Source organism: Homo sapiens, chromosome 20 (assembly GCF_000001405.40).
Source record: "Homo sapiens chromosome 20, GRCh38.p14 Primary Assembly".
NCBI lineage: Eukaryota > Metazoa > Chordata > Mammalia > Primates > Hominidae > Homo > Homo sapiens.
In genome coordinates this window covers 38,001,815-38,021,563 of record NC_000020.11, presented here as the reverse complement: position 1 = coordinate 38,021,563, position 19,749 = coordinate 38,001,815, and the positions used below count along the sequence as shown (strand labels likewise).

The 19,749-nt window shown below is 41.3% G+C and overlaps 1 protein-coding gene across 11 annotated transcripts in view; it reads left to right on the top strand.

The window, feature by feature from the left end:
* Positions 1 to 19,749, top strand: part of TTI1 (TELO2 interacting protein 1) — a 50,436-nt gene that overhangs the window by 11,893 nt on the left and 18,794 nt on the right. For 3 of the 11 annotated variants that reach the window (XR_001754440.3, NM_001303457.2, XM_017028148.3), the window contains exons 2-4: positions 7,707 to 10,049; positions 15,167 to 15,367; positions 18,788 to 18,936. Coding sequence is in view for 9 of the 11 variants with exons in the window: in NM_001303457.2 (NP_001290386.1) it covers positions 7,748 to 10,049; positions 15,167 to 15,367; positions 18,788 to 18,936 (2,652 nt within the window). In the remaining 2 variants the exon portion in view is untranslated. Of the gene's footprint in view, positions 1 to 2,419; positions 7,620 to 7,706; positions 10,050 to 15,166; positions 15,368 to 18,770; positions 18,937 to 19,749 lie in introns of those variants that run through there. The other 8 variants (NM_014657.3, XR_007067483.1, XM_011529114.3 and 5 more) reach the window with 6 other exon arrangements.

Genomic DNA, 19,749 nt, shown 5'->3' with positions numbered 1-19,749 from the left:
TCTGGGTGGTTTTGTCTACTCATCCAGAGAATCCGTTTGTTCTGAATGCCTCATCCCAGTATAACTTTCTGGACCAGAATGCCCCTGTTGCTGTTGGTTATAAATATCAAACTTTGGTGCAGCACCACTCTAAGTAATCAGGGTTGCATTTTATAGGAATAGAATGTAGGATTCCTAAGGCTCTAAATCTCTAAACAATTCTTTCTGTAATTGACATATTGTCACACAACTGTGATTTCATGGCCATCCCATAAAGCTATATGATTGCCTTTTATAGTCATGTCAAAGTAGCAATGTGTTATGCCAAAGTAGCAATGTGTTATGCTGTCTTCCTTAGAGAAAGCTGGTTTATATATTTCTGAGCCTATAACCCAGACTTTTGAAGATCTCTGATTGTGGTAAATCTTCATCTGTATAGTATTTCATAGAATGTACTACAGTTTATTTATCCATTCTACTACAGATAGGCATTGAGGTAGTTTTCATTTTAGGGTGATTGTGTATAGTAAATTCCAGAATATATCTTTTGATAAGCTTATATGTACATTTCTATTGGGTATATATCAAAGAATGGAATTGCTAGATCATAGAGCATATATATATTCACCTTTGAAATAATAGATACTGCCAACGAGTTTTCCGTACTAGCTGCACTGATTTATACGCCCACCAGCATTGAATGAGAGTTTTAGTTGCTTTGTATCCTTGCCAGCACCTAGTATTTTCCCTTTTTTAAATTTAGCTCTTCTCATGGATGTGTAATGATATTTCATTGTGGTTTTAAATTGCATTTTCCTGACTAATGATATTTAAAGTCTTGTCATATGTTTATTGGCTATTTGGCTATCCTTTTTTGTGATATGTCTATTCAGGTCCTTTTTCATGTTTCTGTTAGGTTGTCTTTCCTTTTTTAAATGATTTTTTAAAAATCTTTTGTATATTATAGATATGAGTGTTTTGTCAGATATATAGCAAGTATCTTCTGTCACTTTTTGAATTGCCTTTTCACTCTGTAATAGTGTCTTCTGATGAAGAGAAGTTCTTAAATTTTAAGGTAGTCCAATTTATCAGTTTTTTTCTTTTTGTGTCCTATTTAAGAAATCTTTGCCTACTCCAGGATCACAGAGATGTTCTTGTCTGTTTCCTTTGGAAAGCTTTATTGTTTTACATTTCACATTTAAATAGGATGTGATGGAATCAAGATACATACATATATATATATATATATATATATATATATTTTTTTTTTTTTTCATATGAGTAGCCAAGTGACATAGCACCTTTAATTGAAAAGGCCATTCTTTTCACCCCTTCATTTTACTGTCATATTTGTCAGGTGTGTAGCTGGACTCTCTATTCTATGTGTGGTCTATTTCTGAACTCTGTTCTGTTCATTTTTCTTTATGCCAAGTATACACTGTCCTTTAATTATTGTATCTTTATAGTAAACCTTGAAATCAGTTAGTGTAAGTTCTGTAACTGCATTCTTATTTTTGAAGATTGTCTTTTCTATTTTGGGTCCTTTGCATTTCTCTATCAGTTTTAGACTCATCATATTTCTGCAGAAATCCTACTGGGATTTTGATTAGGATTATGCTGACTCTACCAATGGTACCAAATCCAGGGACAATTTTTGTCCTTGACAGGACATCTAGCAATGTCTGGAGACATTTTTGTTTGTTACACCTGGGTTGGTGCTACTAGCAGCAGATAGATGGATGGCCAAGATACAGAGGCCAAGGATGCTGCTAAATGCCCTGCAATGCACAAGACAGCCCTCCACCAACAAGTAATTATCCCACCCAAAATGTCAATAGTGCTGCTGTTGAGAAACTCTGCACAAATGTAATCGCTGTTTTAGTTGTACTTCAGACTTCTGTCTGCCATCTTACTTTTTGTTTTCAATTTGGCTCACTAGTTTTATTTCTTTTTTTTTGCATTTTTGCCCTTTTTTTGATTAATCAAAAATAGTATCCCATTTTTTACTGCCCTGTAATCTTGTTAGGTAGCTATTCTTTTACAATTATCTTAGAGCTTACTCTACAGATTTCAACATGCATTTAACATCTTGACATGTTATGGTCTAATACAGATTATTTTATCACTTCATTACACTACTAGACTCTTAGACACTTAACTCCTTCCCCCTCCCTACCTTTTGTGAATTATTCTTGTCTTGCATTTTAGTTTTATATATACACAAACTACAGAAGACATAATAGTTATTGTTTTGTACAGTTAATTTTTTTATATTTACCTATTTCATTTTCTTCATTCCCTCTTATAGTTCCATGCTTCTGTCTAGGTTTATTTTCTTACATTGTTTTTTCTTTTAGTGTTGCCCTGATAGCAATGAATTCCCTCAGGTTTTGTTTGTTGTAAATATCTGAATTTCACCCTTGTTTTTTTTTTTTTTTAGACCTGCTCACTCTGTCACCGAGGCTAGAGTACAGTGGCACAATCACAGCTCATTGCAGCCTCAACCTCCCAGGCTCAATCGATCCTTCCAACTGAGCCTCCCTAGCAGCTGGGACTATTAGTGCACACCACCACACCTAGGTAATTTTTGTATTTTTTGTAGCGATGGAGTTTCGCCATGTTGCTTAGGTTGGTTTCAAACTCCTGGGCTCAAGTGATCCACCCACCGCAGCCTCTCAAAGTGCTGGGATTATAGGTGTGAGCCACCCATGCCCAGCCTTACCTTTTTATTGAAAGATGTTGTTTTTATAGGCTGTAAAATTCAAAGTTGGTTCCCTAGTCCATAGATTAAAAAAAAAAAAAATCAAAGTTGGGAATTATTTTCTTTAGATAGCATTCTATTGACTCCTGGATTTTGTCATTTCTTTTGAGAAGTCAGCTGTCATTTTTATTGCTTCACTGCTTTTTAAGGTTTTCCTCTTTTTCTTTGTTTTTCAGCAGTTTGACTATGATGTCTGTGTGTTCTTTTCTTTGTATTGGCCAAATAATTGGGTTGCTGAGTTTCTTAAATCTGTGGGTTGATCTCTTTCATTTGTTTTGAACATTTTAGTATTGCTTCTGCTCTATGCTGTCTTCTGAGACTCATTTATTCACGTCTTTTATTCCACGTCTTTTATGTTCTTATCTGTGTTTACCATTCATTTTTCTAATTGAGTTTGAATATTTTTTATTGACCTATCTTCCAAATCATTAATCTTGTCTCCTGCTAAGTCCAATTTACTGTTAATATCTTATATTAAATTCTTAATTATAGATACTGTAGTTCTCAGTTCTAAAGTATCCATTTGATTTTTTTTATAGATTTCAGCCAATTCTGTGATAAAATTATTTATCCTTTCATTTACTTTGGTCTTTTCCTCTGTTTCTTGACTTTATTAATCTTGGTTATTTCAAAGTTCTTGACTACTAAACTTCAGTAATTGGGCCATCCATAGGTCTGCTTCTAATGTCTGTTTTTTCTCTTGATTACTAGCTGTGGGCATTTACCTCCACACATGCTTAAAAAACTTATTATATACCAAACATTATATAAAAGAATCATAGTGGATGCATATATCTTCCACCATCAAGGTTTGCCCCTTTCTTCTGTTAATTAAATACTTCAGTCTAGTCTGACGTATTTCAGGGATTGAGCTAGGTCACTGCTGGGTTGCAATCCTGGTAAGCCCCAAACTTACTTTGGTTCATCCTTATTAGAGTATGGTCCTCCAGGGCTTTCAGTTGAAAGCCTAATAGGCTATTTGTCTCCTTAGACATGAAAGCCTTTAGGAGGTTCACTTCTGCCCCTAAGGTTTTCAGCTTAGTTATTTAGCCTACCACTACTTCACATCATTTCAAAATTGACTAAATGTCTTGAGGAAGACCCCAACCAAGTAAGTATTTCGAGTCCATCAAATCTCCAGCTTTGTTACCCCAGCTTTGAAGAATACCAAAATCTCTACTGGGTTGTCTTCAGCAGCAGCCTTCTTCCAGAAGTTGGGTATTTGGAGGTCCCTCAAGATTGCAGTTTTGTCTGTCCAGCCCCAGGTGACCATCGAAAGCATTGTGGTTTCTCTTTCCCCAATGATAACCACACCCTAATCCCAAGCCCACGTCCAGGATCAACACATGCACCAAAGGCTCGTGCGCACACACCAAAGGCGCGCGCGCACACACACACACACACACACACACACACACAAGCTATTGATTGTTGATTCCCTCTGAACATTCTCAGTCTGTTAGTCCATCTAGTCCTTGTTGCTTCCACAAGTATTGGATGCTTTAAGAAATGATTTTTGTAATTTATTTGGCTTTTTCTAGTCATTGGCAGGAGTATTAGCCTGCCAAACCATACTATATCCTACTTGGAAGCAGAATCTGTACAGATGTTTTTGAGGGCTTGCCATGTGCCAGATGCTCTTGTAGCTTCTAGGTATAGGATTGCCCTGCCCTCTCAGAGCCTCTAGTCTAAACTAGGTAAAACAGACATATACACAAATAATACAGCATGCCAAATACTGTCATAGAGGTGTGTACAGGGGTAGGAAAAAGGAGACAAATGTGAACTAGCACCACCTGTTTAGAAAATTGCAAGTTTTATAAATTTTACATGATTGCAGGTTAGAGATCAAAGTGGTAGAATAATGAAAAATGAGGTTGGCAAGACAGGCAGAAGCCTGATGGTGAAAGGCCCCGTATGCCATGGTAATGCTTAGGTATAGCTTCTACCTAGAAGTATCTGCCCTTCATGCAGGATGGAGAGCAGTTTAAGAATTAAGCCTAGAGAATTGCGATCAGATTTTTCTTTTAGAAAGATTACTTAAGTGTCATTGTGAAATGTGAATTCGAGGAGGGCAAGAAACAAGCCAAAGGGCCAGAGAGGAAACTGTGAGAGTTGACCCAATATGAAACACATTGGTTATCATCATCAGCAGATTTGAAAGGTGTCAAAGGGGTGGAATTGATGAAATGTAGGGAATGTTGGGATTAAGAGAGGGTGAAAGAAAACAGAGATTCTAGGGTTTCTAGCTTGACTATAAATCACCAAGGGAATATGGCAGAAAGCGATGAGGTCAATGTTAGACATACTGTGTATTCCCATTTCATTAGCTCTATTACGGTTTTTGTTATATAATCTGAGAATGTAGTTTAGGAACCACCACCCTGTCAGGGGGCGGACCCCAAGTTATCTTCTTGAAACTCCTACAGTGAAATAAGAGAGAGAGCCCTAGGCCATTGCCTTCACCCTGGATTTTACAAGACACCCTCTGATTTTGTCCATTTTGTATACCAGGCTTCCACTTAAACATTGTATTTGAAGAAAATTCTCCATACTAAAAGAAAAAAAATTCCTCAGCAGTGTAAGTGTCTTCTTCTGGTGGGATATGTGGGTAATACCCTCTCTTGCATGTTGTTCTTCCATCTTGACAGAAGAACATCTTCAGTGGCATTTGGGGGCCACAATCCTTTATTTGCAGTAAGTAGGTGCTATTCCACTGTCTTCTAGCATCCATTGTTGCCAATGAGGAGTTCAAAGCCAGTTTCTTTTTCTTTTATTTGTTATTTGTCATTTCCTCCTCAAAGCATATGTGATTTTTCTCTTCATATTTAGAGTGAAGGAATTTTACCAGAATGTGGTCAGGTGTGTATCCTTCAAGGCTTTTCGGTCTCCAGATAAATCTTTTTGCAGCTAAGGGAAATGTTTCTCCTTTCAAATTCCCCCTTACATGCTGGTTCTTCCAGATCTGTCCTCCAAGTCTCACAGTTTGCGTCTCTGCATCCCTGCTTTGGGTAAGACAGGTCCACTTGATCTACTAGGCCACTAATTGGGTTTTGGCAATTAACTGTCTTTTTAAAAATTTCATCAGTGGAGCTTTTTTGTGTGTGGAAAATTATGCTTTTAATTCTAAGAGACATCTTTGGTGTCATAATTGAACTTGGTCTTTTTATTATTATTATTATTAAAATTCTTATCTGCCTCTTTTTCTGGTTCTGTTAATCTAAGATTCACCACCTCAAGGAGTGCTCAAATGCTTTTTCTACCCATGACTGCTGGATCCCATTAAGCAATTCTCTTTCTTTCCTACTTCTTGATCCAACTACCAGTATCTCAGGCAGGGAGGTGGCAAAGCAGCCTCTGGTTCATCAGTGTATGAGCCAGTGCACATGGGATGTCATTAGACCCCAGCCAAGCTTTGTGGCTGCCACGCGTGGCATTTTTCTAGCCTGAGATAGGGAAGAGTCAAGCTTCTTCCCTTCTCTGGCTTCTTGGGGCCACAGAGAGCATGAGATACACCCCAACGAAGCCTCACAGTGACGAACAGTGCCCTTCCTCATAGGGTTCCAGGGAGGTCAGTAGACCAGACTCTCCAGCGTATCAGAGTCTCTCCATGGGGAAATTTGGCACCAGCTCTCTTTCTGGACTGAGCAGGCCTTGCTCACGCCCGCTGGCACGACTTGCCTGCCAATCTATAGCCACCGAGTTCGGGAGTGTTCATGGAATTGGGGGTAGACAGAAGCAGCACAAGCACTTTCTTATCATCTCTTCAAAAGCCCCCAGCAAGTAGAGAAAAAAGAAAGACCACAAGACCACCAGACTAGATGATCTCTAAGCCTCCATCCAATGCCGACATTTTACAGTTATACACATTTATGGTCTCCAACTCAGCTCAGTCCTCAGTACCCTTGGGCCACACTTTTGTAAGTCTTCCCAGCATGCTCTGCTTCCCCAAAGGGAGTATTTGAGACTTTTATTTCTCTCCTCAAGCCCTCTGTTTATCCTTCTCCTTGTTCACTGTCAGCCCATGACTTTGAATTTCTCTTCACAAAAAAAAAGACAGACTCTTGGATATTGAGTTGTTCTTTGCTTTCCTGTAATCCTTTCTCCTTTGCCTGCTCGCCTGCTTGCCTGCCTGCTGTCCATCTTTCCATCCTGCTGGACTCTGTCTTCTCCTGTGTGTTCTGTGATAGTGTGTGCTCCCAGTTTTCCCATCTCTCTGGGTACCCCCTTTCGCTTTATGTTGCTGTCAGTCTCACCCAGTTCTGATCCTTCTCCCATATTACAGGCTCCTGGGGGATCTTTTCAGTGCATAAAGTTGACCATATCACCCCTTGCTTTAAACCTCTTAATGACAGGAACAGGCAAAACATGTCTGTAGTGATAGAAGTCATAAGAGTGGTTACCTCCAGGCAGGTGAAATAGGAATCAATTGCAAAAGGACATGAGGGAGCCTTCTAGGTTGTTGGAATTATTTTGTATCTTACTTCGGGAAGTGGTTACATTGTTCTATACAAACACAAAAATTCACTGAGCTGTACATTAAGATAGTGCATTTTACTATATGTATACCTCAGTTTTAAAAAGATGAAACCTGAAGGTTTAAATCCAAACTCCTGAAGGTTAAAATCCGAACTCCTGAAAATAGTCCACAGATTCCTATTCCTTCCTCCCTCAAGTCTTGCCTCGAGCATAATTTTCTTGTGAGACCCATCCTGGCTTCCTCAGGATATGACTTCCACACTCAGGACTGTAAGCTTAGGCCTGTCCTAATCCTGAAGAGACTTTATTGTAACTGTACATGTACTTCCCTCACTAGACAGGGGGCTCAGTTTCATTGCACCCCTAGTGCCTTGTGCAGTGGCTGGCACATAGACCCCAGGTAAATGTCTGTTGAATGAATGAATGCAAGTTCACTTCATACTTGCTTTGAACTTGACATTTTTACTGAACAGTTTCCTTCCTCCAGCCTGCAGGATGTTTCCTCAATGAGGGGAAGGCTGCTGCACAATGGCAGTTTTTGATACTCCTGAGGAGGCCTTTGGTGTCTTACGTCCAGTCTGTGTTCAGCTCACAAAGACCCAGACAGTGGAGAATGTGGAGCATCTGCAGACACGACTACAAGCTGTGAGTGACAGTGCCCTTCAGGAACTTCAGCAGTACATCCTCTTCCCTCTGCGATTTACCCTGAAGACCCCAGGTCCCAAAAGAGAGCGTTTGATCCAAAGTGTGGTGGAATGCCTCACATTTGTCCTTTCTTCAACATGTGTGAAAGAACAGGAGCTTCTCCAGGAACTCTTTTCAGAACTCTCTGCTTGTCTGTATTCACCCAGCTCCCAAAAACCTGCGGCTGTGTCCGAGGAGTTGAAATTGGCTGTGATCCAGGGACTTAGCACATTAATGCACTCAGCTTATGGGGACATCATTCTGACTTTTTATGAGCCCTCCATTCTGCCACGTTTAGGATTTGCTGTATCTTTACTGTTAGGCCTTGCAGAACAGGAGAAATCAAAGCAAATTAAAATTGCTGCCTTAAAATGTTTACAGGTTCTACTCTTGCAGTGTGATTGTCAGGACCATCCAAGGTCATTGGATGAACTTGAACAAAAGCAGCTGGGGGATTTGTTTGCCTCTTTTTTACCTGGAATCTCAACTGCACTGACCAGGCTTATCACAGGAGACTTTAAACAAGGTCACAGCATTGTCGTATCTTCCCTAAAGATCTTTTACAAGACAGTGAGCTTCATTATGGCTGATGAACAGCTCAAAAGAATCTCAAAGGTCCAAGCAAAACCTGCAGTTGAGCACAGAGTAGCAGAGCTGATGGTTTACAGGGAAGCAGATTGGGTAAAAAAGACTGGCGACAAGTTGACTATCCTTATTAAAAAGATAATTGAGTGTGTTTCTGTTCACCCACACTGGAAGGTGAGACTGGAACTGGTAGAACTTGTGGAGGACCTTCTTTTGAAGTGCAGTCAATCATTGGTCGAATGTGCTGGTCCCCTTCTGAAGGCCTTAGTGGGACTAGTAAATGATGAGAGTCCTGAAATCCAAGCCCAGTGCAATAAAGTTCTGAGACATTTTGCAGATCAAAAAGTAGTGGTGGGCAACAAAGCCCTCGCTGACATCTTGTCAGAAAGCCTGCATTCCCTTGCCACATCTCTTCCTCGCCTAATGAACTCCCAAGATGACCAGGGCAAATTCTCTACTCTTTCCTTGTTACTTGGTTATCTGAAACTCTTGGGCCCAAAAATAAACTTTGTCCTCAACTCTGTGGCCCATCTCCAGCGGCTTTCCAAAGCACTCATCCAAGTTCTAGAGCTAGACGTGGCTGACATCAAGATTGTTGAGGAACGGCGTTGGAACTCTGATGATCTGAATGCTTCTCCAAAGACCTCAGCCACACAGCCTTGGAACCGCATCCAGAGGAGATATTTCCGCTTCTTCACTGATGAGAGAATCTTCATGCTCTTGAGGCAGGTTTGTCAGCTACTTGGTTATTATGGGAATCTTTATTTGCTTGTGGATCACTTTATGGAACTTTACCATCAATCTGTGGTTTACCGGAAGCAAGCTGCCATGATCCTTAATGAACTGGTTACAGGGGCTGCTGGGCTGGAGGTTGAGGATCTTCACGAAAAACATATTAAAACAAACCCAGAAGAACTGAGAGAGATTGTGACATCTATACTTGAAGAATACACAAGTCAAGAAAATTGGTATTTGGTTACCTGTCTTGAAACTGAGGAAATGGGAGAGGAGCTGATGATGGAGCACCCAGGCCTCCAAGCCATCACGTCTGGTGAACACACCTGCCAAGTTACATCTTTTCTAGCCTTCTCAAAGCCAAGTCCCACTATTTGCTCCATGAACAGTAACATCTGGCAAATATGCATTCAGTTGGAAGGAATTGGCCAGTTTGCATATGCACTAGGAAAAGACTTCTGTTTGCTCTTGATGTCAGCCCTTTATCCAGTACTGGAGAAGGCTGGAGACCAAACCCTACTCATTAGTCAGGTGGCTACCAGCACCATGATGGACGTTTGCCGTGCTTGTGGCTACGACTCCCTGCAGCACCTGATCAATCAAAATTCAGACTATTTAGTGAATGGGATCTCTTTAAATCTGCGTCATCTGGCTCTGCATCCTCATACCCCAAAGGTCCTGGAAGTCATGCTGCGGAACTCAGATGCTAACCTGCTTCCTTTGGTGGCAGATGTGGTTCAAGATGTCTTGGCCACCCTGGACCAATTTTACGATAAGAGAGCTGCTTCCTTTGTCAGCGTTCTGCATGCTCTGATGGCAGCATTAGGTACATTGAGAGCCCTTTTTAATGCTGATGTGTGGGGGACAGGACTCAGTCTCCTAGTTTGCTTAGCCTCGTTTTTTGCATTGTTTGTGGTGATGCTATGGAGGACGTTTTAATCATTTTCTCTCCAGTCCCATAGGTTATGGGGGGGTTTCACTGTTTATCTTTTATACTTTCAGTAATCTCTACCATTTATTGAGCTCCTGCTCTATGCCAGGGTATAAACCCTGCAGAATAAATGTAAATATTATTTCTATTTTATAAATAAGAAAAACTAAGGGTCAGTGACATCCTACTTAGCCAGGGTCACACAATTAATAAATGATAAAATCAGGATTTATGACAGTTTTGTTCTTTCCAGTATAGCAAACTGCTTCTGATGATGCATAGAGTTAGCAGTATCTATGCTAATGAAGAACAGATATAACGTGAATTATTCAGTCACATATTGTCTAGAACGGTACTAAGAGAAGTTTCTTTGATGATAGAAATAATCTTTATTCGTTCTATCCAGTACAGTTACCACTATACACATGTGGTTCGTGCACCTGAGGAACTGAATTCTATATTTTACTTAATTTTAATAGCCACATGTAGCTAGTGACTACCATACTGGACAGAGCAGGTCTAGAAACTTCCTTTTAACCTTTTAATTGTGTGAGTTGGTTTAAGTTTCTCTTCTTCCCACTGATCCTATTGGGTGCTTACCGAAGATGTTAGCCACTATTAGAATGGCAAAATTGGCTGGGGGCGGTGGCTCATGCCTGTAATCCCAGCACTTTGGGAGGCCAAGGCAGGCGGATCAAGAGGTCAGGAGATCGAGACCATCCTTGCTAACATGGTGAAACCCCGTCTCTACTAAAAAATAAAAAAAAAAAAATTAGCCAGACGTGGTGGCGGGCGCCTGTAGTCCCAGCTACTTGGGAAGCTGAGGCAGGAGAATGGCCTGAACCTGGGAAGCGGAGCTTGCAGTGAGCCAAGATCGCGCCACTGCACTCCAGCCTGGGTGACAGAGTGAGACTCTGTCTCAAAAAAAAAAAAAAAAAAAAAGGAATGGCAAAATTTTGGACTTCAATTATAAGGAAAGGAATCCTTCAACTGGATAGTCAATCTTTCAATGAGAAAATAATAAGCTGTATAGCTTGGGTCCCTTTTATTTAAAGAGCATATTTCCAGTATTTATCTCAGTACTGCTAATAGCCTCTGAGAAGGTGGAATGGTCACTGGCCTCATTTTGTCAGTTGAAAAAGCCAAGACCTTGTAAGAAACATTCTCATGGAAGGTAACTGGGGCAGGGACAGTGCACTGCCCTGTAGCTAATGCCATTTCCAGTGTTTGTTTATTCATGCATGAGCATTCACGTTCAGCATAAATGTTCCTTTTTCATTCATTCATTCAAGAGTGCCTGCCATATGTCAGACACTGTGCTAAGTAATGAAGATAGAGCAGAGAAAAAGACGAATAAACTCATGGAACTTCCCTGCCACTGCAAGAGAGATGATAAACAAGTAAACAAATCATTAGACAAGCTCACGGCAGATTCTGATAAACACCGTGAAGGAAATAAACACCTCAGTGTAACAGACACAGGCTCCTATAAGTTCAGTGGTCAGGGAGGGCCTCTCTGAGGAAGCAACACTAAAGCCAAAACCTGAAGGATGAGAAAGGCCCATCAACACATAGGGGGCTATCACATTTATTTTTAAGAACATTCAGGCCGGGTGCCGTGGCTCACACCTGTAATCTCAACACTTTGGGAGGCTGAGGTGGGCGGATTGCTTGAGCCCAGGAGTTCAAGACCAGCCTGGGCAACCTAGTATGGCCTCGTCTCTACTAAAAATGGAAAAAAATTAGTTGGGAGTGGCGGTACATGCCTGTAATTCCAGCTACTTGGGAGGTAGAAGCATCACCTAAGCCCAGGGAGGTCAGGGCTGCAGTGAGCCATGATTGCACCACTGCACTCCAGCCTGGGTGACAGAGGAAGACTGTCTCAAAAAAAAAAATAAATAAATAAAAATTCAGGTGGGAAGGCCCAGAAGGAAGAAGGGGCATGGGTCTTTGGAGAATGGAAAAGAGGCCTTTGTAGAGAGTGTTGCAAGATGAAGTTGGAAAGAAGGGCAAGGACAAATCCTGGTAGGGCCTTGAGGAGCAAGAGAAGGAGTTTGGATTTTATTTTGCAGCTACTTGGAAGCCTGTGTAGTGGGCTAGTCACTGGGGAGTCAGCCATGAATAAGACCCACTTAGGCCTGCCCTCGTGGAGCCCCTCATAGGACTGACTGGTTGCTTATGCAGACTAAGACTGGCTTCCATGGGCCAAATATATCCCACCTGTACTGCTTTAGCGACCTATGCTATGTTTCAATTTGAAATTTTTAAAATGTAGGTTAAGAAAAGCCCTGTGAAATATATCTCTCAAGAGGTATCTGAATTTGGGCCTTCAAAATTGAATTGTCTTAGATTGCTGATGTCTTCGGTCATCTCTGAAGGAGGAGTGTCAAGACTCCTGTGTAGCTTTGTAGTGCTTTTAAAAAAAAAAAAATGAGGTGGAGGGAGAGGGTCTCCCTTGCAGAAAGGAAAATTGAATGGTTAAGACTGACTCTGGGGCTTCCTTGGAACAGAAGCAAACTTAGAGCTAGCTTTTATGAAAGTTTTGAAATAACCCAGAATACACTCACTTTTTGAACAGGAAGTAGTACTCAGGTGGAGTTGGTATAGTCACTCATAAATCAGAGTAGTACCTTTTGCTGTCATTTCTGTTTGTCATAGAATTATCTAACTGACGTCCACTCTTTTAAGATGGGTGTGGAAATGTGTTCTCAGAGAACTTCTGAAAGGCCTTAGAAGAACCCAGTAAGAGCTTTAGGAAATTGAGTTATCATTAACATAGTGTGTCACATGCAGTGACTAAAAAAGCATTAGGTGCCACGGTAAGGGCAAGAAGCATCAGTTAATTACTGCTTAATCCCAACTGCTGGTTAGCTGATTATTCATAACAAGAAAAAAATAGGGTAGCTTTGAAAATAAGTATTTATGTCACATACTTCACAACTTGGAGAATGTGCTGCTGCATTCTTTTTATGGCTGCATAGTATTCCATCACGCGTCTGCACCATAGTGTATTTAACCAGTCCTTTCTTGGTAGACATTTTGGTCATTTCCAGTCTTTGGCCACCACAAAAAATGCTGCATTGAATATCTTTGTAGGTCATTTTGGACATGTCTCAGTATATTAATAGGATGAATTTCTGAAAAAAATGCTGGTTTAAAGGGTATTACGTTTAAATTTTTGAGAGAGTATCAAATTGCTCTCTAAGAGGTTGTACCAATTTAAACTCCATCAGCAATGTACGAGAGTGCCAGTTTTGCCACGCCATCACCCACACTGTGTATTACCAAGCTTTTGATCTTTGCTAATCCAATAGGAGAAAAATAGCACCTTATTATAGTTTTAATTTGCATTAAACGTGAGATTGAGCTTCTTTTCATATGTTTAAAAGCCATTTGTGAGCAAAGACATTTTAATGTCTGTCACCAGCCTTGAATCTAGAAATAATCTTTGCAGCATATCTAGTCTTAGCAGTGTAAATGCTGGGTCCAGGTTTTAACTATTTGGGAACCAGTGCCTTAGAGTGCACTAAGTAGCTGATAGACAACTGGGGATGCAGTTTGAAGAATGTCATAATGGATCCCTGGGTGTAGGAACCTCCGGCTCACACCTCACACATTTGCTCTCTGATACTGCCAGTTGCCTGGCCCTGTCATCTCCCATCTGCTGCTGCTCTTGCTCTGTGCAGATGCTCTTTGATGAAAAGGAGATTAGCAGGTGCTAAAGGTTATCAGAGTTTTTTTCCCAGCTGTCTGCAAAAGGAGGGCACTGGACCAGAGCAGTGATTTTCAGGCTGTGGGATTTGTTGTTGTTGTTGTTTTATTCTTTAAGTATTAAGAGCCTTTTTTGAAATGAAGCCTTTGGGGAACCCTGATATACAAAAATAATTGAAATTAGAGCTGAGTTGTTTGAAGGAATAGAGACCCTGGAACCCATGCCTGTAGCCCACCGTCTCTTGGTGCCCTCCCTGTTGTGATCCATGAGACATTTCTGTGAAGCCCTAAGGCTCCTCAAGGCACAGTTTGAAAACCACGGGACCCAGTGATGTTAGAAGTTTATTCTGTGGTGACTTACCAGAGGTATTTGAGCACCACCGAATAGGGAAGACTTTGGAGAGAAAATGGCCAGCTTTCTGAAGCATTTTATGTGAGAAATACAAGGTGAGACCATCCATTCTCAAGACTCTGTAAAGCCTGTATTCTGCTAATGAGTGGTATATTCTGTACTCAGAATTTTGTCACTTGGACGTGTTTGCCAGTCTTGTGTATTTTTTCTTTTGCATATACTTTGAGCACCCAATATCTTTGTAGGTCATTTTGGACATGCCTCAGCATATCGATAGGATGAAATCCTGGAAAAAAATGCTGGTTTAAAGGGTTTATGTTTAAATTTTTGAGAGAGTTATCAAATTGCTCTCCTAAGAGTCTTTGTGGAACCCTGTCATACAAAAATGATTGCAGTTAGAGCTGAGTTGGTTGAAGGAATAGAGATGCTGGAACCCACACTGGGCATATTAGATTTCCAGTGGTGACCAATGGAACATAGAGTCTGATGGGAGGCTCAGACACTGAATAGTACACACAAATAAATAGATACGCAAATATATAATCACATATTGTGATGAGCTGATATGAAGAGAAAGAGCAGAGTGCTATATAAGACATCATGTAAGTGACCTAAGTTAAACAGGGGAGTCAAGGGAGGGCCTTATCGGGCAAGTTCTATGTGTTCTGAGATGTGAAAAGTGATTTGGAGTTAACCAGATGTGAAGTAGATGGGAGGTATTCCAGACACAGAGAACGGCCTATGCAAGAGTTCTGAAACAGGAAAATGCTTGCCGCATTGGGGGAACTGGAAAAGGATGAGTTAATGGGCAACTGGGAGGCCGGGGAGCCAGGCAGGGACTGAATCATGTGGGGGCTGTGCAGGCCAGGGCAGAGAGCTTATTCTGTGTATAAAGTACTCATGCCTGTTGTTAATAGCCAAGGTGATCATTGTAACACTTTATTTACAGCCCAGTGGTTCCCAGACACAGGTAATCTTGGGCACCTCCAAGAGCAAAGTTTAGGAGAAGAGGGAAGTCATTTGAACCAAAGACCAGCAGCTCTTGAGAAGAGCACCACCACAGCTGAAGACATCGAACAGTTTTTGCTGAACTACCTCAAAGAGAAGGATGTGGCAGATGGAAATGTCTCGGATTTTGATAATGAAGAAGGTAACTTGTTTATTTTGGCTTAGCTGGTTTTTTCTTTCTGAAACAGATTATTGTAAAAATGGTGAAACATCATTACAGAAAGGGTAGAAATAAGAAAAGTTACTCATAACCTTACCAGGCTAACATAGCTATTCTCCTGTTTTGTGTAATCTTTTTCCATTCTTTTCTGTTACAAAACTGTTTTTCCGTGGTTGCAGCTGTGTACCCTTTTTGTGTTTAGTTATAAGCAACTCTGCTTATTGCCGTTGAATTTTGATCATTAACGTTTTAATAGCTGTTACTAAGTGTCCATCCCCTGTAGGACATTTAGGTTGCTTCTGGCTTAATAATAACTCTAATAAACAGTGCTGCGGTGGATGATTCTGTGCATGTGACCTTTTTTTTTTATTTTTTTTATTTTTTTATTTTTTATTTTTGCATATTTCTTTAAATTCCCAGAAGTAGGATTTCTGGGTCAAGGATATGAACATAATTTAATGCTTGCCAAATTGCCTTTCAAAAAGGTTGTGTCAATTTATACTTTTCCTTCGGCAGTGCAGGATGAATACTGGTTTCACCACAGCCTTACCAACATTGGCTATTTCCAGTTTTCTTCCTAAATTAATAGGTGAAAAATGGGTCTTGTTATCTACCTTGCATTTCTTTGATTACCAGTGAGGTTGAATGTCTTTATAAGCTTCTTTCCTAACAGGTTTTTTTTCCTTATTCCCATTGTCTATTTATATGCTTTGTCCATTTGTTTGTTGGTGGGAGGAGATTGCAGTCTTTTTCTTACCAATTTATATGATAAAGAAGAAGGGAGTTCAGGCTAGTTGAAGCTCTGGCCTGTTGTTTTATTCACAAGCTCAATCTGGAGCTTCAGGTCACGGAAGGATTAATAAATTATTAGGATCTCCTCTGCAAATATAAAATGCCAAGTCATAATGAGCTTGGTGGTCTCAGAACCATCCTAAATCGAACCGAGTCCCAAATTAGTTTGTGAGGTTGGAATAAAACGTTTCTTTTTCTTTTTCTTTTCTTTTCCTTTTTTTGTTTTTTTCCTCCTTTTGGTGATCTCCACTGTGAGATTCTGGTGAACTGAAGCCAGTACTTCCAGCAGTGTAACAGGAAATAGTAGCTTGATGCCACTCACTACAACAAATTCCTTCTAAATAGCAGAAAAGGCATCACAGGGCCCAAATAATGATTTATGCAGAATTGAGTCATTGCTCTCCCCGAGGACAGAGTTTTCTGATCAGAAATCTATCAGGCTTTTTCTTCTCAGATTTGTTTCTCGAGCCAATCCAGTCCTTTTTGTGAACTGCACCCTTCACCCAAACCTGGAAATGCTGAAGCAGGGGAGGCATTCTGATCCCTCATAATCCAGATTTGCCATTCTTGTTTAAAATTTGAGCACTGTCAGTGAATCCATTCCTTCATGATTAGGATCTTCTGGTGTTAGTTGATGTTCACGTAGAGCAGACTGAAAGAGTCAAACCCTTCTTCCAATAACAGGAAAATCCACATCCCTCAAATAAGATTCTGCAATAGGTGAATTTCAAACAACAAATTCCCCTCTGGGGAAAAAAGCACAGGCCTATCATGCTTATCATTCATCAAGTACACACCACACACTTGGCATTCTAAGGAATGTTTGCCTCAGTGCTGGCTTGACATGAGTTTTTTGTTTTAAGCACATAAAAGCACCTTGTATATCTGAGGTCCCTTTCTCCAAGAAATCCAAGCATTCTACAAATGCATTTTAATTTATCTTTTCAGCATCTGTTAGAGACAGGTGCAGCCTCTACTGTAAGAGTCTGTCTTTCCAGCAGAGGGAACTGAAATGGGAAAAAGTTAAGGGAGCAGTGCTCTGCTCAGTGGAAATGAGCACAGCTGGTAATCAGGGTTGGCATGAGGCTGGGGGCTGTAAGTAGATCAGGAAAATTTTTCAGGGTAAGGATTTTGACCTGGGTTTCATGCAATTCTCAAATCTTGTGGTGATGTTTCCGTTTACAAACTTACATCTATCTCATGCAACGCAGCACTCTAGACAGTGAGAATGATAATGACTGGTAATATCTCATTTAATGCTCTCAGTAGCATGTGAGGTATACATGCTCTATCCCTTTTTTTCCAGATGAGGTAATGTAGGATGAAAGAAGTTGCTAATAGGTTTTAGAGGCAAGACTTGGTCCAACCTCCTCTAACCAAACTCCATGCCCTATGAACTACACCAAGCTGCCCTTGTTACCTCACCTACAAAGATAAGTAAGGTTTGATTCTGGCCATCAGAAGTTCTTACAGGCTGGTGGAGAAGACAGATGTGCACCCCCCTTTTAATCAAAGGATGAATCAAGAGGAGACAAAAAAGTGAAGGACAGAGCAGAGGCCAGCCATGGAACTTCCCAGCTTCAAGGCTCCTCCACACGAGAACCCTGCTATCTCTCCCTTTTTTTTTTTTTTTTGAGACAGAGTTTTGCTGTTGTTGCCCAGGCTGGAGTGCAATGGCACGATCTCGGCTCATTGCAACCTCTGCCTCCTGGGTTCAAGCGATTCTCCCGCCTCACCCTCCCAAGTAGTTAAGATTACAGGCGCCCGCCACTATGCCCGGCTAATTTTTGTAATTTAGTAGAGATGGGGTTTTGCCATGTTGGTCAGGCTGGTCTCAAACTGCTGACCTCAGGTGATCCACCTGCCTCAACCTCCCAAATATCTTGTTTTTATCTTAAATATTCATTAATGGAAATTTAGAAAAGACCAAAGGCATAGGGAAAAAAACTGAAGTCATCTGTTATCTCATTACCCTGTCACTTTTAATATTTTGCTGTACTTCCTCTCATGCAAAAACGTATGTAGTAGTGTTCATGCTGCATATGCAATTTTGTGTTGTGCTTTTTGTCTTTTTAAGACAATATTATTTTATAAGCATTTCTCTTGTCATTAAAACCCATGCTTAGCCTGGTGTAGTGGCTCATACCTGTAATCCCAGCACTATGAGAGGCCACGGCAGGGGGATTGCTTGAGCCCAGGAATTGGAGACCAGCCTGGGCAACATAGTGAGACCCCCATTTCTACAAAAAAATTTAAAAATTAGTTGGGCATGGTGACATGCACCTGTAGTCCTAGCCACTCAGGAGGCTGAGGTGGGAAGATCACTCGACCCCATAAGTTTGAGATTGCAGTGAGCCGTGTTCACACCACTGTACTCCAGCTTGGACAGAGCAAGGCCCTGTGCCTAAAAAAAATAGGGACCTCATAAAATGCCATTATATGGCTATATCATGGTTTCTGTACCTATTCCCCCTTGAGTGGAGGTGTCTCAGTCCATTTGTGCTGCTGTAACCAAATACCTAAGACTGAGTAATTTATAAAGAACAGAAATTTAGGTATCTCTGTTTTATCACTCATACAACACTGCCCCCAGTTGTGCTCTTTTTCCAGAGGAACAGTCAGTCCCTCCCAAAGTGGATGAGAATGACACCCGTCCAGATGTGGAGCCACCACTGCCATTGCAGATCCAAATAGCCATGGACGTGATGGAACGCTGCATCCACTTGTTGTCAGATAAAAATCTGCAAATCCGCCTGAAGGTCAGTGCGCAGCTGCTTCTCTGCATTCCCAGAGTAGCAGGACTAAGGTGTGGCCTGGTTGGCAGTGGCTACACGGATGAGCACGTAGCTCCCCTTATCTCCTGGTCCACGTGTGGTGGCCAAGAGAAGGCATCAAAAGGAATTTGTCTGTGGGGTGACAGTTTTACATCTTTCTGTGTCTGCTGAGATGCCAAAGGGAGCTGAGTCTCCTGCATTAAAAACCACAAGTTTTGGGGATTCACTGAATTTCCAAGGAAAAGAAAGCCATGTGCTTTGGAAAGGATATTATTTTCTCAGCTATGTAGGATGCAGGTTTTAATACTTTAATGAGATCATTCTTCCAAGCCTGACACTAGCCCTTATCTCTCTGTTTTCATTCTAGGGAAAACTTGAACACTTCCTAATATAGACTGGCTTGCTGGCAGTTTGCCAAGCAGCACCCCCATCAGCAAGGGCTGAAAGCATGTAGTAGTGACTGCAATAACAGGATGCAGTGGGGTGGGGTAGAAGTGGGGGGCAGGGCTTTTAGAATCACCCTGGAGAAGACCTTACACCCAAAGGGAGACAGCATTCCTCTCTACCCCCAAGCAGGAGTGAGAAATACAACTGTCGGCCAGGCGCGGTGGCTCACGCCTGTAATCCCAGCACTTTGGGAAGCTGAGGTGGGCGGATCACCTGAGTTGGGAGTTTGAGACCAGCCTTACCAACATGGAGAAACCCCATCTCTACTAAAAACACAAAATTAACCGGGCATGGTGGTGCATGCCTGTTATCCCGGCTACTTGGGAGGCCGAGGCAGGAGAATCGCTTGAA